The sequence below is a fragment of the Homo sapiens genome, chromosome 2 (assembly GCF_000001405.40).
Source record: "Homo sapiens chromosome 2, GRCh38.p14 Primary Assembly".
Lineage (NCBI taxonomy): Eukaryota > Metazoa > Chordata > Mammalia > Primates > Hominidae > Homo > Homo sapiens.
In genome coordinates, this window is record NC_000002.12 from 225677154 (window position 1) to 225697905 (window position 20752).

The window sequence follows — 20752 nt, forward strand, 5'->3', positions numbered from 1 at the left end:
TTTCATTTTATTTGTGGCTATTATAAATGGGATTATGTTCTTGACTTGGTTCTAAGCTAGAATATTATTGGTGTATAAAAATGCTACTCGTTTTTGCACATTGATTTTGTATCCTGAAACTTTCCTAAAGTTATTTATCAGTTCCAGGAGCTTTTCGGTGGAGTCTTCAGGGTTTCCTATGCATAGAATCATATCTTTGGCAAAGAGAGAATAGTTTTACTTCTTTTCCTGTTTGGATGTGTTTTATTTATTGCTCTTTTCTGATTTACCCTGGCTAGGACTTCCAGTACTGTGTTGAATAGAGTGGTGAGAGTGGGCATCCTGTTCTGCTTCCAGTCCTCAAGGGGAGTGGTTCCAGCTTCTGCCCATTTGGCATGATGTTGACTGCAGGTTTGTCCTAGATGGGTCTTATTATTTTGAAGTATGTTCCTGCAATGCTTAATCTGTTGAGGATTTTTTTTTATCATGAAGGGATATTGGATTTTATTGAAGTCTTTCTCTGCATCTATTGAGATGAGCATATGGTTTTTGTTTCTGATTCTGTTTGTGTGGTGAATCATATTTATTGATTTGCATATGTTGATCCAACATTGCATCCCAGAAATAAAATCTTCTTGATCATCTTAAATTAATTTTTTGAGGTGCTGCTGGATTTGGATTGTTAGTATTTTGTAGCGGTTCTTTGTGTCTATGATCATCAGGGATATTGGCATGAAATTTACTTTTTTCATTGTGTCTCTGCCAGATTTTGGTATCAGGATGAGGCTGACTTTTTAGAATGAGTTAGGGAGAAACTCCTCCTCCTTGAATTTTTGGAAAAGTTTCAGCAGGAATGATGTCAGTTCTTCTTTGTGCATATGATAGAATCTACCTATGAGTCCATCTGGTCCAGGTCTCTTTTTTGGTTGGTTGTTTTTTTAATTATTGATTCTATTTCCAAACTTCTTATTGGTCTATTCAGGTTTTCACTTTCTTCCTGATTGAATCTTTGGAGGCTGTGTGTTTTCAGGAATTTATCAATTTTGTCTAGATTTTCTAACTTTTACACAGAGGTGCTCAGAATAGTCTCTGAGGATCTTTTGTATTTCTGTGGGAGCGGTTGTAAGGTCATGTTTGTCATTTCTGATTGCGTTTATTTGAATCTTCTCTTTTTATCCCCTTTGTTCATCTAGCTAATGATCTATCAATTTATTTATTCTTTTGAAGAACTAACTTTGTTTCATTGATCTTTTGTATGAACTTTTGGGTCTCAATTTCATTGAGTCCTTCTCAGATTTTATTTATTTATGTATTTAATTCTGCCAGCTGTGTGGTTGGATTGATCTTTTTCTAGTTCCTCTCATTGCATCCCTTACTCTTCTCAAAACTTAGAACCAATTAATAGCAGTATCTTTGAAGATAAAGTTCTTTCAGTCCTTTTTCTAAAATCTTATTGGAAGAAGTCAATCTTTTCTTCAATATGCTGCATTTTATTAAAGAGAGTAAAAATAAAAAGACTTTTCGTTTCTTTCTTGGACGTTACATATACTTGAATTGCATGATAAGGTATCAGATACAAGGTTGAGGGGCCAAGAGGTATTTCAACTGAAATACTAACTTATGAAATGCATTGCCCATGAAGCAGTGAGAATGGATGTAAATGTGCAGACATATGGAATTTCTGGGTTTAACCCTGGCTCAATTATCCCCTTGCTGAGTTTCATGGACAAATTATTTAACCTTTCTGACTCAGGTGCCTTATCTGAAAAATAGAGGTAATTAAGATGAGCTGTAATTAGAGTCCTAAAGAATAGAGGATAATGGTAATTTATGATAAAGTAGATTGATGACATCATTGGTTTTCTTATCATTGTTCAATCCTCAAAGGACAATGAATACATTATTTTATTCTTATCCCAGCTAAGAAAGAGAGATTAAGTATATTGTATAAGAAACTTGGCAAGTGTTGTTCAGGGGAAAATGTAGCTTAATAAGTATGGACACAATAACAATTGCTTTTGGAATCATGTTCTCACTTTTGAGGAATGCCTTATAAAAGCAAGTACTTTATTTGAGAAAAAAAAGGTAGAAAAGAAAATATTAATAACACTGTATAATTTGAAGTCATGGTCCTAGAACAAAATTAAAACTAACCACTGAGATGTTTTGCATTAATTATATATGGTGCAGAGAGCATCTTGGTATTTGCAACAATATTACCTACAATGTTCATTAATGCACATGATAGTTATATTTAATTGAAGTAATTCTATTCACCACCCAACAGAATTTCAAACAACATTTAAATATTGCAAACATGTTGGTAATACATTCTCATTTTAAGAGTGGAGCTTCTAATTGTTTTTTTTTTTTTTTTTTTTTGAGACAGTCTCACTCTGTTTCCCAGGCTGCAGTATAGTGGTGTGATCTCAGCTCACTGCAGCCTCCAACTCCCTGGTTCAAGCTATTCTCCTGCCTCAGCCTCTGTAGTTGCTGAGACTACAGGCATGCACCACCATGCCCAGCTAATTTTTGTATTTTCAGTAGAGACAGGGTTTCACCATGTTGCCCAGGATGGTCTTGATCTCCTGACCTTGTGATCTGCCTGCCTCGGCCTCCCAAAGTGCTGAGATTACAGGTGTGAGCCACTGTGCCCGGCCTGATTTAATTTTTTAATCTATTTTATTTTTGACTTTTATCTTTATTCTAATTTGAAATAATGTATTTGCATGTAGAAAGATGACAACCCTTAGAATCAATCAGCACTGGCCTAAAACTTTCTGCCCTTTACCACCCAGCTCTTGAGAGTTTCAGTTTCCTCACTTGTAATATATAGTCATAAATATTTTGGTAGATACTGTTACATGAACATATAAGATTAGATGAGATAATCTATGAGATAGATAGCACCGGGTTTAACATACTATGACTGTTCAGTTTCCCTCTTCACACTTTCCCTTGTTGCATATTTCTTGCACACAATCAATGAGAGCTTGGATTCTTCAGTTTAGCTACTCACTTGCTCCAAGGCATCAAGTCAAAACGTCAGCAGAAGTCATTAAATGTTTTTAAGAAAATTGCACAAAGAAGTCTCTCCCTTGCTAAGCAAGGATATCTCTGGCAGAATGTAATGTGTTTCTTAAGTTTAGAAGTATAGGAAAAGCTCTCAGTTTTCTTATAAGAGGATACCAATAAAGCCTAAGAGTATGTAGTTGATTCTGCTTACACATAGAAAGGGGTTGCAATCTTATAGAGTAGATTCTGTCCAATTATGAATGCCAAGTATGGCACTGCTCCCTGCATTATTCTACAGGCAATAATTTGCATTTTTCTAGAGTTCTAGTGTTCAGTTTTCTCAAGAAATTCTTTTTTAAAATAATTAAGGAATGTTCTGATAAGAAAACCTTGTAAAGATAGTCATTGCAACTTATATAACTTTATTATAAGGATATGATATATTTCATTGAACATATAAAATCAAATTCAATACAGACAAGTAGTTTCATTTTTTATAGTAGAAAGATGAGGTAGTCCATAACTTCCCCAGTGTCCCCTCTAATGCAATTAGATTCCCTGCAAATGAGAAATTGATTACTGGCTGTCAAAAGATGAGGATTTGTTTAATAATTCTGAACCTATGCATTCAGAAAAAAACAAAGCATATATAAAGAGTTTCTCTCACCACTTACGTTGCAGGGCAGTTCCATAATTAGATATTTATCCATCCATAAAAGTCTTTTTAAAGGTATGATGTATACTATTGGAAATTATTATTCTAAACCATTTCACCCCAGATCTGGCTATAGCTATATAAAAAAATTAAATAGACTACAAGTAGTCCAATAGCAATATATTTCCTCACACTCTGTGTGTGGCATTTTACATTTGTGATTGTGCATTAGGAAAGTAACACAGCTATTGCAACAAATATAACCCAAAAATTTACTGCTTTTTTCCTTAAAAAATGTTTCTTAATCACATAAAGTGCAACAGTTTTCCTGGTTGATGGATGTTCCAGGTTGTTGGACAGAGCTGGGCTCCTCCCAACTTGTGGCTCTGCCATTCCTGAGAAACTCTGTTCTACTGAATCTGCTGTTTCAGGCTCATAGCTGAGAGGTAGGGGACAGAAAGAAGATCACATATGAAAAATTTTTATCTGTCTATCCTAAGAGAGACATAAAGTCAGAATTCAGTTATAAGGCCATATGCAATTGCAAGAGAGAAGGTCCTCAATAAATAATTATTGCAGACATAAATGCATAAATCCTGACAACAGCAATGGGCCAAAAGCAGATGGAGTGATCACTGATGTGTCTAATATCTTAGGGCTTGTGGATGGGTTATTACATTCAGAGAGAAGCAGTGGAGCTTTACGGATTCTGGAATTCGATCTGGCTATTCCATTCACTGGCATTATCTCTTTGGACAAGTGATGTAACTCTATCAAGCCTCAGTTATTCAATCTGTGGAAGAATAAGAAAAAGAAAATGAGCACTTTTGGTCACATGCTATTTTCCAGGAATGGTGGTAGATACATAATATAAAATACCCATAATCTCACTGCATTTATGCACAACCTCAATTGCAGAGCCACATTCTACAAGACTTAAAAGTGGTGGTTTTGGAGTTAGTTCACTTGAGTTCAGATTCCAGTTCTATCCACTTATTTGCTCAGTCCCTTTGGGCATGTTTCTTATTCACAGAGCCTCAGTTCTTCATCTATAAAGTGAGCATCATAATGTCAACCTTATAAGGCTGGTGTGAGTATGAGGAGTAAATAGGTTAGCATATATAAGACATTTGGAAGACCCCCGGCAGATTGCTTGTGCTCACTATATGTTAGCCATTGTTTGTATTGTTTTTAGCATTTCAATTATTATTACTACAGAGAAATACTATCTAGTCCTTATTGTACTTTGACACTTATTGAAAGAGCCAAACCATCCAATCATTGTGAGCATGATCTTGAGCTTGAACATGCCTTCTGTAGCCAACTGAGAAAAGCATTTACATTGGTATCATTAGAGAAAGTTCATCATATACTGGTCTTGAAGAAGATATTCCAAGAAAAATAAGAATTGTTACAAAATATAGGGTCTTTATTATCTCCCACTATGGTCAAAGCATAGCTGTGACACATTATAAGGTCTTTAGTGAATTATTTTACCACAGTGTAGCCAATGCATTTAGAATTCTCTTTATTTCAGTAAGTGTGAAAAGCCATGAGTAAAAGCTGTTAAAATGAGGAAGAAGATATGAAAGTAGGAGAGTGTTATAATTTTTTGGCCACTTCAACTCCAATTGAACACTTCCAGTAGCTACAAACTATTAGAAAACACTCATAGCCTCCTGCTTCTCCATTGTCTTGATTTTAATTTTTTCCCTTACTTGTATTTTATTTCTGAGTGGCTAATGGATCTTAGTCTAAGAACTGGAGGTGGAGGAGGAAAGGAGACTTGTCATTACGGTTTTTATGAAAGCATGGCTTTGTGAAGTTGTGTTGTCATTTCTTCAGGCTCTTAGAAACTGGGTACAAACAGCTATCAAAAGAATTCCTCATATTTTCAAAAGTAGCAGGCATGCTTCATCTTTGGAATGAGACCTAGGAGTCTTGAATAAGAAAAAAATCATCTTTCAATTTGAATCAGAAATAGGATGGGTGCCATAAGCTGAGAGAGCCCAGAGTTCTTATGAGAGAATTGTAGGCAATGAGATCATAAAGGCAGATGTAGCTCTAAGTTCCATATGTTTCCATTACAGATGAAGTTATGTAGACTTAATACTCTTGACAATGGAAGCCATTGACATTTCTAGGCAGATAAATGACATGAGGAAAGCAGTTTCACTAGGAAGAAAACTAGGGTAGTAATAGTCATTTCCCCCCCCCATTCTGTTCTTCCTACTACTCTTCCCAGTATTATTCCTCTGTTGACTCTTTGCATTCTTTGGAGCATACAACTGAAAGATATCATGGTGGCAAATGCTATCGTGGCTTGTGAACTGGGATGATATCATATGGAAGAGGCGTAGGGACAAGCCTGAAATAATTTTCAGCAAAAACTTTTTGGTGGCACTTTACTATTCTATTTCTGAGCCTAAGCTGGTCCCTATCTATAGATGAGAATAATGCCATGACCCACAGGCAATATCCCTTGAAAGCTTGGTGCTGAGAGAGCCTGAGAGGGGAGAGCCATTTTCTGGGTAATAACTTCGATCACCTTCAGGCTTACAGTGTGTGTTTGTCACAACTATAGAAGCCTCGTGAGTATTGATTTAGAGAAGATATTTTTAAGCTAGCTGGCATCCTCAATGCTAAAAACCTTAATCAGCATTTAATAAAAAATTCTTTCCAGTTATTTTGACTTGAGCAAATGACATCATATTATCTTAATGAGAAGTAAGTTAACAGCAAATTTTGGAAATTACATTTTGAGACTTTTAGTTGAGACACCAATGGAATCCCTGGGTAGGTTCCTTCTACATACATGTCTCTTTTAGACAACAGGTAGATAGATGGGCCATGCCACCTCATTTTTAGGTGCTCCAAAGGGAAAGGTGTCTTTTTTGGCAATGGGTAAACAGCATGAGAAGCAGGAGAGAAGCCATAAAAGAGAGCAAGATGGAAAATATAAAAGCAGCAAGGAAGGGGGCTATCTTTTGAACTCTTGGCTTGGTAGGTCACGAACTGGAAGTAAACGGCTTGCTCCTATGCTGATTTTGGGTTTCTCATAAGGGACGTTCATTTTTTTTTCTGCCTTTTCATACTGACCTCATACATATTTGGACAAATTTGGTTAAAAGGCAAAATGATCAATCTCTTTTGAGGAAGTCCAATTATGAGAGAAGTCTAGTCAATTTATGGGCAAAATTACAAGTGTTATTTTGATTACTTGGGGAGTAAGTGTTGGTTTGGATTTTGGAGGAAAAGGGTCAGGCTTTAGGTCAATGTGACTCAGACTTGGAGTCACAGATTAAAAGGAGATTTTATTTAGATGGTCTGGTCAGAGAGACACAAACTCCAATACCTGTGGCTGCTGCCGAGGAGAGAATGGAAATCAGTACTTCCTCATTTTGATAGAATCAAGTATGGCAAATATTTTTTTCTGCTCTATGAAAAGTTTTATTACCAGTGAGATGAAAAATGGCAACCGGCACTTTGCTTCTGTGTGGAGATCACAATTGGGATTAGGTTGAACTGGAAAGGCAAGCCCACTTGAAAAGGGCAGAGAAATCTCTGCTGCAGTTCATTGTTGCTATGTTTCTTTCTCTCTCTCTTTTTTTTTTTTTTTAGAGAAGCCAAAATTCAGGCTCTGTCAGCCTTACCTTTTCTCCCCACCCCCAGCTCTCACCTTTCTCTTCTCTCTTACTATGTAATCTCCTGATTTGTTTTTTCCACCTTGGTTCAAAAATCTTAAATATAGTTTTTTTGTTTTTTTTTTGAGACAGAGTCTCACTGTCACTCAGGCTGGAGTGCAGTGGCATGATCTCAGCTCATTGCAACCTCCGTCTCCTGGGTTCAAGCGATTCTGCTGCCTCAGCCTCCAGAGTAGCTGGATTACAGGCACCTGCCATCATGCCCAGATAATTTTTGTACTTTTTGTAAAGATGGGGTTTCACTATGTTGGTGAGGCTGGTCTCGAACTCCCGGCCTCAGGTGATCTGCCCCCCTCGGCCTCCCAAAGTGCTGGGATTATAGGCATGAGCCACCACAGCCAACCAAATATGCTGCATTTTATACAAAACACAACTGTGGGTGTGATATGTTCCACAGTTTGGACCCACTGGTCTGTTCTAACCTGAGGCCAAGATAAGTGACATGACTTGCCCAGAGCTAGCAAAATAACTGGCTCCAGAACAGAATTATTGGAATTGCCAGCATGTTTCTCCTTTTATAATGTACTTAGGCTCATTTTGGGAAATGCATTCTAGTGAAGAAAAAACATATTTTACAGGTACTTCCCCAGTTCAATTCAAAGTTATAAAACTAAAAATGTTTTTTAGCTGTTTAAACAATTATAATTTAAGTCTGTTCTTGAGTATTAGTATGTTTTCCTTGCCTATGAGCTTCCTTTTCTTTTGCTGGATAAACCACATGTTTACTGAGAAGTGGCTCTCCCTCATTTATCTGTGGTCAAGCCCATATATACTATTAAAAACCAATATTTTATAATGAAATTAAACTTGAAATTGTATTAATGCTAATATAAATGATTAAGATAATATACTTAGTGAAAGATATCAATACCTTTTTTATAATTGAATTTTATCTTGTAATACTGCTTGTTCCTTCAGGGAATATCTCTTTAGAAGGCCTTCTATTTACAGAATTCTTGCTCATTTAAAAACACATAAATTAACTCAGGAATCTGCTCAGAGGATTTTTTCTTTATAACAAACAATTAGCTTAATCAATTAATAGCTGCAACTGTAGTTGTAGTCATTACTAGGTTGAATTACTGAGAAATAAGTTCTGTCTTCTTTATTGGAAAATAATATGTCACATTTTTTTCTATAGTCATTTTTAATCTCCAAGGCCAAATACTTTATAATCATAAAATAGTCAAAAGTCAAATCAAGAATCATATATTGCTTTTTAAAGATTATACCATGGTTCTGTATGTGGACACAAACATAGTTTTTAAAATATATTTTAGTGTGAATCAATTTTCTTCTGAAAAGCCTCTTACGATGTGATATATAAGTATGTTGCATCACATGTCACTTATGCTTATTTTAGATATTCTTCACAACTTTATACAAATTTCAATGGAACAAAACTTTTAGCCAATTTCAGACACACAAGAATTAAGTTACAAATCAAGTCTTTTTCATGCAATATTATGATTTTTTTCTGTCATTTTATTTTCTTGTAGTTTTACCCGTAATAATTTACTTATTACACCTGTATGTATGCTCTGTATACATGCATAAAGAAGAAATACCATGTCACTCACACCTCGATAGATGGTGTGCTGTTGGATGGGTAGGTTTTCATTGTATGTCTGGTTATAGTCTTTCAGCAGAGAACATGTGCTAAATCATATACATTTCCAATTTGCTCTTTGCATTTGCTCCTAAGAGATACAAAGTTAACATTCTATTCTGATTTTGTATTAGTTGTCATCTTGTAATATGCAAATGTGATGTATTTTCTAGATTTTGAAATTTCATTCTCTAAAATTTCGCTGCAGCAAGAGTTTGTAAAATGATGGTTTCATGCAATTAGCATCTTATTTCATGGAGGGAAGAAAACCATTCCTGGCCTTTTTCACGGGTGAAGACTTTCTCCCTGGCTTTTTCTCCTAATGCAATTCAGTGTATCAGCTAACACTTTCATGTAACTCAAGAGACACTAACATACTTGTGAATATACTTACAGAAGCATAAATATGTATGTAAGGATTACTGTACTATATTTGTCTGCTACCATGAAACTGAGGAAAACAGGGTTTACTGAAATGATCTGCAGTGTGGCTGATGAAATAAAATTTTAAAAATTTACCTTTAGAGGGACTTCTTTTGATGCTGTACCCATAGTGGGCAATGTATTTTCAGTACACAAGTATATGGAGGTTCTACCAGTGAGTAAGCTATTTGGAGGTGAGATAAGATGGAGCAGACATAGTGATTACACAGTGCCTTGCCCACTGTGTGGAAACACTGTGGTTATTGTGCCTAGGATCTTGATAATAATGAAGACGAAGACAATGGTAGTGATGACAACAATGACAAATAGAAAGGTCAAATTTTCATTTATCCATCAAAGTTTTGATTAACAGTTTATAAGTCCTCTTATCTTCCAGCAGCAAACTTAACAGCCTTTGTTTGATCAAGTGCACTTCCCATGTCATGGGCTATATGAAGGGAAGTAATTGTGCTTGTGTGTATGTGTTTCTAATAAGAACTACTTTACTCATAATTAGCTGTGAAGCAATCTGCTATAATACTGAGTGCAGTTTTTATTTAGCATGTGATATATTTAGTCTTGAATTGCAATTCTAATTCTGTCTTCTATTAGGCATGTGATGCTATACGTGTAACTTAATCTCTTCAAGCTTCATTTTATTATCTGAAATATATCAATAGGGCATGCTTAAGAGTTATTAAGCTTTAAGGGAATTGAGATATGTCCAGGGCTCATAGAGTGCCTGGAACATGGTTATGTGCAATAAATCATGGTTGTTGGTATTATTACATTGTTGATACTGCTATGTTTATTTTATAGATTGTGACAATCCTTCTCTCCAAAGTCACAAGATAGAAGGTGCATATAACTTGCCAATTTATCTTAGAACTTTTATGATGTCACTGAAGAATGTTTTGGGATAATTCCTTTAGATCAATCAAAAATCTCAATATATGGCACCTTATTAACTTTAGGCCACCACTTTTTCTTGAATGACATTATTGACACATATATTCTTTAAGACACTTTTGCAATTTTATTTCTTAAGTAATATGTTAACTAAGAGACCTTAAAATGATTCAGTGATTTAATCATAAATATATAATATATGCACATATGTGTAAATATGCATAGAGATACATGGATACATTTATAAATATATGCAAAATGGATAGACTGTACTTGAAATAATTTGCTAAGACAAAAATCTGTCTGACTTCTCTCAAAATCTCAATTGATTCTTTACTTGCATGTTGTACCCAGTACGTATGGACAGAGAACGGGAAAGGTCAGATCTTGAGAGAACGTTTCTGCGCCCTCTTGAGTTAGTATAACCTCTTATCATTAACTAGAATTTGGGTATCTCTCAAAATGTGGTGCTCAGCCTATCATCCATCAAAATCACTAGGAAGCCTAATAAAACTATAACTGCTTAAGACCCACCTTATCTAGAATTAAAGTCAGATTCTCTGACATTGGTGCCTAAGAATTTGCATTTTAATAAACTCCCAAGGGAGTTGCATACTTCCTTGGTTGAATGCATACTAAGGCTTAGGGAGCATTGATTTGTGTCTCAACTTCAGCCAAAGGGCCAAGGATTGATGTCCAGAGTTTGAAAAAGAGACGTTCTCAGTCATTGAACACCCAGGTGTGACTCACATGGCATTGAGGACTGAGTTTCAGGTTAGATGCCTCCTGGGGTTTATAAAGCCCAGGCAATATTTTTGTTAACTTTGTACAATTTGAGGTATTGTTGGATTCAGTTGAGCCAAAGTGGAATGAACTCATTCATGAAATCAAGGATTTCAAAAGCACCTTTCCTGAAAATACTCAGAAAATGTTACACTTAGTGTGATCCATTTGTTTATTCATTCATTTTTTATGAACATTTATTGCATAATTTTACTGTGTTAAAAGCTAAGAATATGAAGATTAATAATGGAGTCCCTGTCTTTAAAGAGTTCATTGTCTACTGGGGTAGAAAAGCTTATATTTTTAGAAGTGTCCACTTTTCAGTAGATACCAAATTAGGACATTTAATCTTCTCAAGAAACCTATTTTATTATTTTCATTTTACAGGTTAAAAAAAGGAAAGGTTAGGTAACTTGTTCTGATCTCACATATAATAAGTGATAAAAACCACATCATCTTATCCATTTTATTCATCTTATACTGTCTCCTCAGAAAATAGAAAATCAACTTTTTTTTGTCTGTCTATTTTTGAGATGGAGTCTTGCTCTGACACCCAGGGTGGAGTGCAGTGGCACGATCTTGGCTCATTGCAACCTCTGCCTCCTGGGCTTAAGCGATTCTCCTGCCTCAGCCTCCCGAGTAGCCGGGATTACAGGTGTACACCACCGTGCCTGGCTAATTTTTGTATTTTTAGCAGAGATGGGGTTTTGCCAAGTTGGCCAGGCTGGTCTGGAACTCCTGACCTCAAGTGATCTGCTGCCTCAGCCTCCCAAAGTGCTGGGATTACAGGTGTGAGCCACTGCGCCCAGCTTGAAAATTGAACATCAAACACACACATACATATTTTAAAAGGGATGTGCATTCTATTAGGAGCTTGAAATAAGCTATTAATTGTCACTGTTCAGCATGGTAGTTGAAACCAGCCTTCATCCCTGAAAGTAATTTGTGACATGGGTCTTGCTTAAAGGACATCACTATAGATTGAAGCATTAGGTGTTTTCCTCATTTTACAGGCAGAGAAAATGAGCAATAGATGTTAATTTGAAATGATTTTTCTTTATAATCACGTAACTGTCTTATTCATTTATAACTTTTAAATCTTCTTGATGAGTGACTTTTATGTAATTGGTAAGGTAAGCAAGCCCAGATACATAAAAATAAATAGTATATATAACTTAAAATATCAACATGTGATGTTTGTTATTATGTACCTAGCAATTGATCAGAGACTGTACATCACAGGTGATTTTTAGATCTAGAAAAAGAAGAGCAGGAGTTAATGTGTACTCATGATTTTGCATTCAAAAGCAACTCTGAAATCAAGACATGGTTCACATTTTTTCAATATGTCTATATCTCAAAACTAAATTTAGACATGGGAAATAAATACTGCAATTCCAGTACATGCTTCAGGTGTAGACTTGCCTAATAATTTTTCATAAAACATGTGTTCTGAGTCAACAGTGCTGATAAATGAGGGAGAATTATAAGGGGACAATTAAAGAAATACATGATCAGTAGATTAGAGTTAAAGATGGAAAAAAATACAGGAGAAGGACTATGGAAAAACCTAAAGATATGACAGAGGTGCATATTATTTCAAATAATATCAAAGTCTGAAAGTTAGGTACATTTTATATATAATCCCTAATTGTCATGTTATTCAAGAAAGCCAGATAAGTAACTTATACAATGTCATCAAAGTGAGATTGAAAGCCTAAAATCAAATTCCGGCCAATGGAATTGAAAAGCCCCTACTATTTTGGTATTGCCCACTTAGATTACCTGTTCAAATAGCTTCATTCGGCCTTCATAAAAAGGAAGAAAATTATAGTGCAGAGTCATGTTCCTAGCCTTGAATTTATACTTTTAAAGTGGCACAAATGGTGTCTATAATTAATTGTAAACCCACATGAATTATCTGACTGTTCCTTTTTAAACATTTAGTGTAAAATATTCTGAGGAGTAGTGTTGCCTCTATATGTTTCCAACATATCAATTATTTTATAACAGATACATGGGTCAAATATGCTCATTAAAAATATTTTTTTTCTCTGTGATGATCATTTGAAAGACTTGTGATTTGATAACTAAGGAAGCAATTTTATTACTGAATATGCTGACAAGTGCAGAAAATTATAATCCTTCCAGCTCTACGTTATATCAATTTCAAAAGATTTATTGAGGGCTATGTTGTTGTCCAAATTATGTAAAGTTGACCCATACTTTCCAAAATATAGTTGAAATAAATTCACTAAAACTAGGGGGAAAGTTCTCAAATTAAATTTATATTTTTCAGGTTAAGTCACCACAGTAACACATCACAGGCAACTAAGTAACCTCTGCAGGGTTATTAAAAAGAGTTGACCTAATATTAAATCTCTTATCTATACAATTTAAATCAGTTTCTCTCTTTAATTCTAACATACGGCTTTTCCTTCTAATGATGGAATTATAAAATATGTAACTGACATATTTAGAATAGAGAAATTTTCTAAATAAATTTCTATAACTGATTTCAAATCTAGGTTTCATCATTTCTGGTTTATCTAATGGGCCAAACTCAATAGGAAAAATATTGTAAGCCCGTGTGAATCAATACTCTTGATTTTGTTTTATAGTTGTTTATATAGCACCAATACTAACATTATCTTTTTCTGCCTTCTATCAGACAATTCTAATAGATACTTATTTTAAGGGTCAAATGATCATTTACTTAGTTGAAAACACGTTTAGGAAAGAGTGTGATGTTAGGGTAACAGTAGTTTTTTCCAAAAACCATTTACTGAGGTGCAGGTAAGTGGAAATTTAACAAGTTTTTAGATGTTTAATTAAAATTATTTTCCCACTTTTTACAGGTCTAGCATACTATTTATTTGAGTTTTTCAGATAGTTTATGCATCATAGCAAAGTGGTTAAATTTTATTAATTATTTTTCATCTTACATGATAGTTCAGGAGTGAGCGCTTTTTTTTTTCCCTGTAAAGGGGCAGGTTATAAATATTTCCAGCTTTATGAGCCTATAGTCTCTATCCTGACTACTCGATTCTACCTTGTAGACAGTACGTCAACAAATAGGTACATCTGTGTGCCCCAAATCTTGATTTATGTACACCACCATTTGAATTTCATGTAATTTCCATGTGTCATGAAATACACTTCATTTTAGTTTTTTAACTATTTAAAAATATAAAAACAAATTCTTACTCATGGACAGCACAAAAACAGGCAGTGGGCTGTATTTGGCCAGTGGGTTGTAGTTTGCCGACCCCTATCCATTATCTTGAAGATATATGTAAAAAAGCCATGGTGTTTATGTGCTTACTTTTTCCTGTATGTTTTTATAATTCAAAAATCAACCTCTTTGCCCACTACATGGGAGAAGAAGAACATTTTCAATGAGAGCAATAACACCCCTGGCCGACCTCATGACTCCTAAAGACAGGACAAGCACAGTTGCAGGTGACTCGCGGCCTCCCATAATTTCTGAAGTTGTCTCCCCTTCTTGAGTCACACACACTGGGTTTCATGCCTTCTCTTCCTTGTTCCCTCACCAATGCTATCCATGGTCTCCTGGAGAAACTTCCCTTAAAGGGAAAATCCAGAGAACTTTGAGAACTCCAGCTTCCTTTTCAGCCAGGTTAAACTTACACTCCTTATGCAGGAAATGACAATTTCTCACACAACCGGCAATGCAGGTTGGAGAGGTTGGCCCAGAGACAGCAACACAGGACTGACAATGTTGCCCCAGATCATCTGAAAATTAGTATTGATTGATTGCTGTGCCTATTGTTCAAGAAATTAAATTTTACTCTCACGACAAGTCTCAAGACTCCTAGATGAAATTAATTCCAAGGTTAACAAGGCGCTTGCTTGGCATCGTGCTCTGTCTCCTAGGCCTTTGATAAATTATTGTTTTTCACATGCTAACTAATGAGGCACAAAAATCAAAATCAATAGAGATATGCATGCTTGTATCAGTTTTATTTTGGTATCATTTTCAATAATGAAATACTCCAAGTGCTTATTTCAGAGTATTTTCTTTTCTCTTTATGATTTATCTACTTTGGAAAATTGAATATTATGGAGATTTATTATGGCACTGCATTGCTATTCCTTTGTTCTTTGGAGAAAATATACTCTTAATCTCAGGAAGTAATTAATTTTATTTTCTAGAGAAAGTAATTATTGAAGTGAACTAAAGGTTCTTTCTCATTTGTGTCACTCCTTATGCATTGAAGGATCATTAGATGAGATTGTTACAATATATGGGGATTTCTCCATTTATATGCTTTAGCTCTCTGCCTCCTACAACCACATAAAGTGTGACGTGTGTAGCAACATGTATTTTTTATATATATATACACACACACAGTACAATATCCATAAAATGTATATGTGAAGCATATATAAATTTATATACTATGTATGTATGAATTATGTACCAATATTCATTCAATATATAGTATTTAGGAAATTCAGAGATATTCATGACTTTTCAATGTCACACAATGATCAGGATCCCAATCAAGTCATTTAGCTCTTTCCATGATACCATGTTGCTTCCTTTTAAAGAATGAAAGATACAGTTAAAATTAAGATTTGAAAAGAATATAGTCTCTTCACTTATCTTTAAACATACACACACACACACACACACACATATATTTACACATATATGTGTGTGTACATATATATTTCTAATTTTAAAGTAGTGTTTTTAATTCACATACGAGTTCCAAAGAGTGTATAGTGGGTTCCCACATATTCCACACCCATTGTTTCTCCCATTGTTAATATCTTACATTACCATGGTTCATGTGTCATGACTAATGAATCAATATTGATACATCATTATCAGCTTAAATCCATACTGTATTCCAGTGCCCTTAGTTTTTAATCCAATGTTCTTTTCCTGCTCCAGAGTCCCTTTCAGGATAGCATGTAAATTAATTACACTTAGTCATTGGGTTTCCTTACCCTTCTCTAGGATGTGACAGTTTCTCAGACTTTCCTTATTTTGGATGACCTTTGGAGCTTTGAGGAGTACTGGTATGGTATTTTGTAAACTGTCTCTCAATTTGGGTTTCTCTAGTGGTTTCTCATGATTAGAGTGGAGTTATGGGTTTTGAGGAGGAAGATGGCAGAGGTAAAAGTGTCTCTGGTCTCATCACATTATACCAAGGATACATACTGCCAGTATAGTTTACTACGGTTGATCGCCTGTTGGGGGTGATGTTTGCCAGGTTTCTTGTCCGTTTGGGGTGCCAGAACAGAATACTATACACTGGGTAGCTTATAAACAACAAAAAGTTATTTTTCACCGTTCTGGAAACTGAGAAGTCCAAGACCAGGGTGACAGCATGGTTATGATCTGGTAAAGACACTCTTCCTGGTTGCAGACTGTTGACTACTTGCTGTATCGGCAGCCTGGCTGAAGGGGTGGAAGAGCTCTCTTGGGATTATTTTATAAGAGTACTAGTCCCATGCACCTCCCAATCACCTTGAGGAGGTCCCACCTCTTAGTACCATCACCTCGAAGGTCAGGATCCCAACATAAGAATTTTAAGGGGGCACAAACGTTCAGACCATAACACCAGGTTCCTCCAATGTATAGTTACTTTCCTCCTAGCTTTCCACACTGTACTTTTTAGGAAGAAGTCACTGTGTGTAGCCCACAAAAAAGGGGTGGAGATTGAAATTTCACCTCCTAGACAGGAAGCTTCACTTGATTTTATTTCCATGGACTTATTATCCAAGGATGTTGCTTCTGCTGAATCATGCTGGTATAAAAATCTTGTCCTAGAGGTGTGTGTTCATATGAATTGAACAACTGTCCTACAGTTAACTTTTGATGTGTACTTACCTACTTACGTATACATTTTTTCTTTTCTTCATGGGATAAACAGTATAATAAATGCCTTTGGATTAAAGATAAGAAATAAGGCCATTGAATTAAATAACTAAACTAGAAGAGTTTATTTACTGGGCTTGGCTTCAAATTCGTTTTAATAGTCAATTCCCAGAGTTCTTTCAATTCCAGGGAGAGGTGGAATGGGATTTTACACATCTTTTTTTTTTCTTTTAAGAATATGAAGAATTTTGTGATAAAAGAAAAGAAAATAGAAAAGCGATGCAATTTTTTATGGGTAGTATTTTTAACATACTTCACATACTTGCTAAACATGCTATTTATTATATCCAAAACAATGAATGAAAGCATGACATCTTACTATCAACAAAAAATAATATTTAGATATATTTTTGGGGGACTCAACGATGGAAATGGCCACAGTAGCAACATTGGAGTTCGATTTTGAGAATTAAAATGACTATGCACCCAAACATGTGCTATTTAAAAATAAATGTGGGAAGCAGATATATCTTCCCACAATATAATTATATTCTATGTTTATTTATCACATCTTAACAGAAATATTTTGGGGGAGTTTAAATGGAAACAAATTGATAGCAGATATAAAATAAGAAGATTATATACTAGAATCTATATATTTGTTGAGATATTTTCAAATATATATTTATATTTTGAATGGACAATCTTCCAGCAACCTGAGTTTGAATTATTGTCTGATACCTAGCCATCTTTCATGTATTGGGCAATGCTTTTTTCATGGAAGTTTATATATTGGGCAATATTTTCTTACTCACTACACATGTCTCCAAAACATGAGTTAAATATTATGGAGTAAGTCTGAAAAAAAAAGTTATTTTCTTTTTCTAGCAATTCAGACCATTCTATCAATCAAGTGGACATATAACTATTTAATGCAAAATAAAAATCTAAAGAATAAAATTCCAAGCTTTATAATTTTTATTCTTATTCTTCTATTCTTTAGAGTTTAAGAAATATATTCTTAATAAATTTACACACCTCTATAGCATTTCTGCTTGACACAAAATACATATTTTATGGATAATACAGTACACTGTATATACATATATGAAATGTTATGCAACTGTGAAATATATAGGTGACCCTGTTGTCAAGGGAATCCAGAAAAATTATTTTTCAGTTGCACATACCAATTTATGCCAAAATATATTAAAGGGAATTAAGTAACACATGACTTAATGTTTGTGTAGACAACTAAATAAAATAAAATCATAGAAGTGATGCTGTAAGAAATATTGGGACTTAAAGAAGTTTGGAGGTTTTGCAATGATGTTGAAATGTATAGAACCCATAGTATTTTACTAAGAAGATTATCTGGATTTTATTTTATTTTTTTGAGAGACAACAAAAACTGTTCTATGATGTTGGCTTCTATTTAAGTCATAAAACTTCTATTGAAAGCCTAGGACTCTGTTCTACATGTTGGGACCACCAAGATGAGTGAGATTTGAAGCCTGTCCTCTGGGAATTCTGTGTTATAAATTTCATTATGACAGTTTGTAGTTACTCAATAAATTTTTCTTGCATTTTCACCAAAATAGAGTTACTGCATTTTTATTGCACAGATTATCATGTTATGAAATATTGTAAGTCTTTTGAAAAATTTCTGAGCCACTTTGACAGTCTCCTGTTGGAACACAAACTTATTCATTAGATTAACTCAACAAACACCTAAAATTTTATTTAAAAAGTGAATGCTCATGTCTACAGTCCTGAGCTAGGAATTAGAGGACACCAAAAGGCATAAAATACAGCCCATTTTTTCAAGGAACTCTCTATCAAATTAGGTACAAGCAAGATATTTATCTGAGAGTATCATCTTCTGGGCTCCAAGTCCAAGCTAGTAACTTTGATTTAATTATTTCATAAGCAGTTTTTATTCACTCATAAAGCCACAAATTTAGTTGTATTTTTGAGTAGCATCTGGAAACAGTAATACATACAACAATAACTATTATTATAATTTATAAGTAAAATTCAGGTAATGGAGCATAATATAATTAGAAAAATATCAACTCTGGAGTCAGACAGACCTGAGTTTGATATAGGTCTGTATCATTTATTAGCTGTGACCATGACCTAGTTTCTTAAACTTTCTGAGACTTAGTTTTGTAATTGCAGCAGGTAGATAAATTCTTTCAGTGTGGCTTGGAGGATTTAATATAAAACAGAGCTCTTTGAACATGCCTGGCAGAGCATAGGTATGGAAAACTACTAGGTATTCATCAGTGTTAGAATAATAAGACTTGGGCAATGGTTTACTGTTTTTAAAATGAATTGACCTTCATTATCCTATTTAAACCTCACACCAAATTTATCAATTCACTCATTCAGATAAAGAAGCCAGGAAGCCCAGTGACCAATGGAAATTTGACACATCAGGATTTAAATCCATGTTTTCTAGGTCTAGGACCTGCCCTTTCCCTAAATGATTAGGAATTGTGAGAATTTGATTTAGCTTTGTTCACACCAAAACCTACCTGCCTGGTTTTGGACTAGATATATAACTTCCTCATCTATGCATAGGGTGTTGTACTAAAATCCACGTTCACAGTTCTTTCTAGTTCTGTGTATACATACATTGAGAGGCAGCATAGTGTAGTTGTTAAAAGCATGGGTGTTGGGCATAAACTCTTGGGTTCAAATCTTGACTCTGCCATTTGTTGGCTCTGTAACTTTGGGAGAGTTACCAAATCACTTTAACTCTCATTTTATTCATCACTATGGGTTAATAAATAGTACAACTTCAGGGCATTTTGATGAGGAATAAATGAATTAAACTATGCAAAGTACTTAGAATGAAATCTGCTATAGAGTAAGCATTATGTAAGTATTTGCTCTAATTATCACCCTAAAATTGTAACAGCAAGTTCAATGACTTCAAGTGCACTATTTTAATGCTTCAAGTCATACAGTAGATTTGTTTAAACAATTATGTGGAAGCTTCCACAACCTAGCTGAGCTCATGGGCCCAATTTTATTGCCGCCCTTGTGTGACAGACGCAACATGCTAGCTCTGTTCCAAAGAACAGTTACTGGTAGACATGGTGCCACATATACCTGGAAGCAGTGGTTACTTGTCCAGTAATATGTACATATGTGTATGTATGTATCAATATATAGTCCACACCGAGCTTTCTTCTGGTAACCAAACTGACCTCATGAATCCATTTTTCTAAATTTTTGAAGTTGATTAGAATCCTTGTCAGTCTGACTACAGGGACCAATGGTTCTAATGTAGACATTTGCCGAAGCATCAAAAACTATAGCAAAAACTTCTTAGCAGAAGAAATATTTAAGCATTTACATTCTAAGCATATGGTGTGCACTTAAAATCATTTTGATGAGATGAATTATTAAAAATATTCTACTACATTCTGTTTATAAATAAACCTGTTTAAAATTATTTCAAGAATAAAAAAACATTCATTCAAATCTTTAAAACATATCACATTAATATTAGACCTCACTGAAAAGTAATTCCAATAATTGAATTTAAAAATATGGGCACAAATAAGACAATGGAGCCAACATAAAGTTACAGGTAAATATTTGGAAAATTGCTTAAAAGTGTAAAAGATTTAATTTTCATATCATGAACTTTCAGAACATATTGAAAAATATTCATGCCCAAATTGTTAAATATCGCGATGTTTACTAATTTAAGTACAAAATTTGTTTATAGTTTCCATTCTTTTATTTTTGTTTTGTAAGAATTATTTCTTAATTTATCTTCAGAGTTTTTGGACTGGGCATAGTAG

General features: G+C 34.5%; 1 protein-coding gene and 1 long non-coding RNA gene across 8 annotated transcripts in view; one reads left to right on the forward strand and one right to left on the reverse strand.

Moving 5' to 3' along the window:
- NYAP2 (neuronal tyrosine-phosphorylated phosphoinositide-3-kinase adaptor 2) overlaps window positions 1-20752 on the forward strand; it is a 305716-nt gene that overhangs the window by 279215 nt on the left and 5749 nt on the right. The gene's annotated exons all lie outside the window — the stretch shown is intronic.
- Window positions 3396-20752, reverse strand: part of LOC105373914 (uncharacterized) — a 211043-nt gene continuing 193686 nt past the window's right edge. For 3 of the 5 annotated variants that reach the window (XR_007088109.1, XR_007088110.1, XR_007088111.1), the window contains 2 exons: window positions 4327-4442; window positions 3396-4088 (listed from right to left, as the gene is read on the reverse strand). This is a non-coding gene — a long non-coding RNA (uncharacterized LOC105373914). Of the gene's footprint in view, window positions 4443-5367; window positions 5621-20752 lie in introns of those variants that run through there. The other 2 variants (XR_007088112.1, XR_007088108.1) reach the window with 2 other exon arrangements.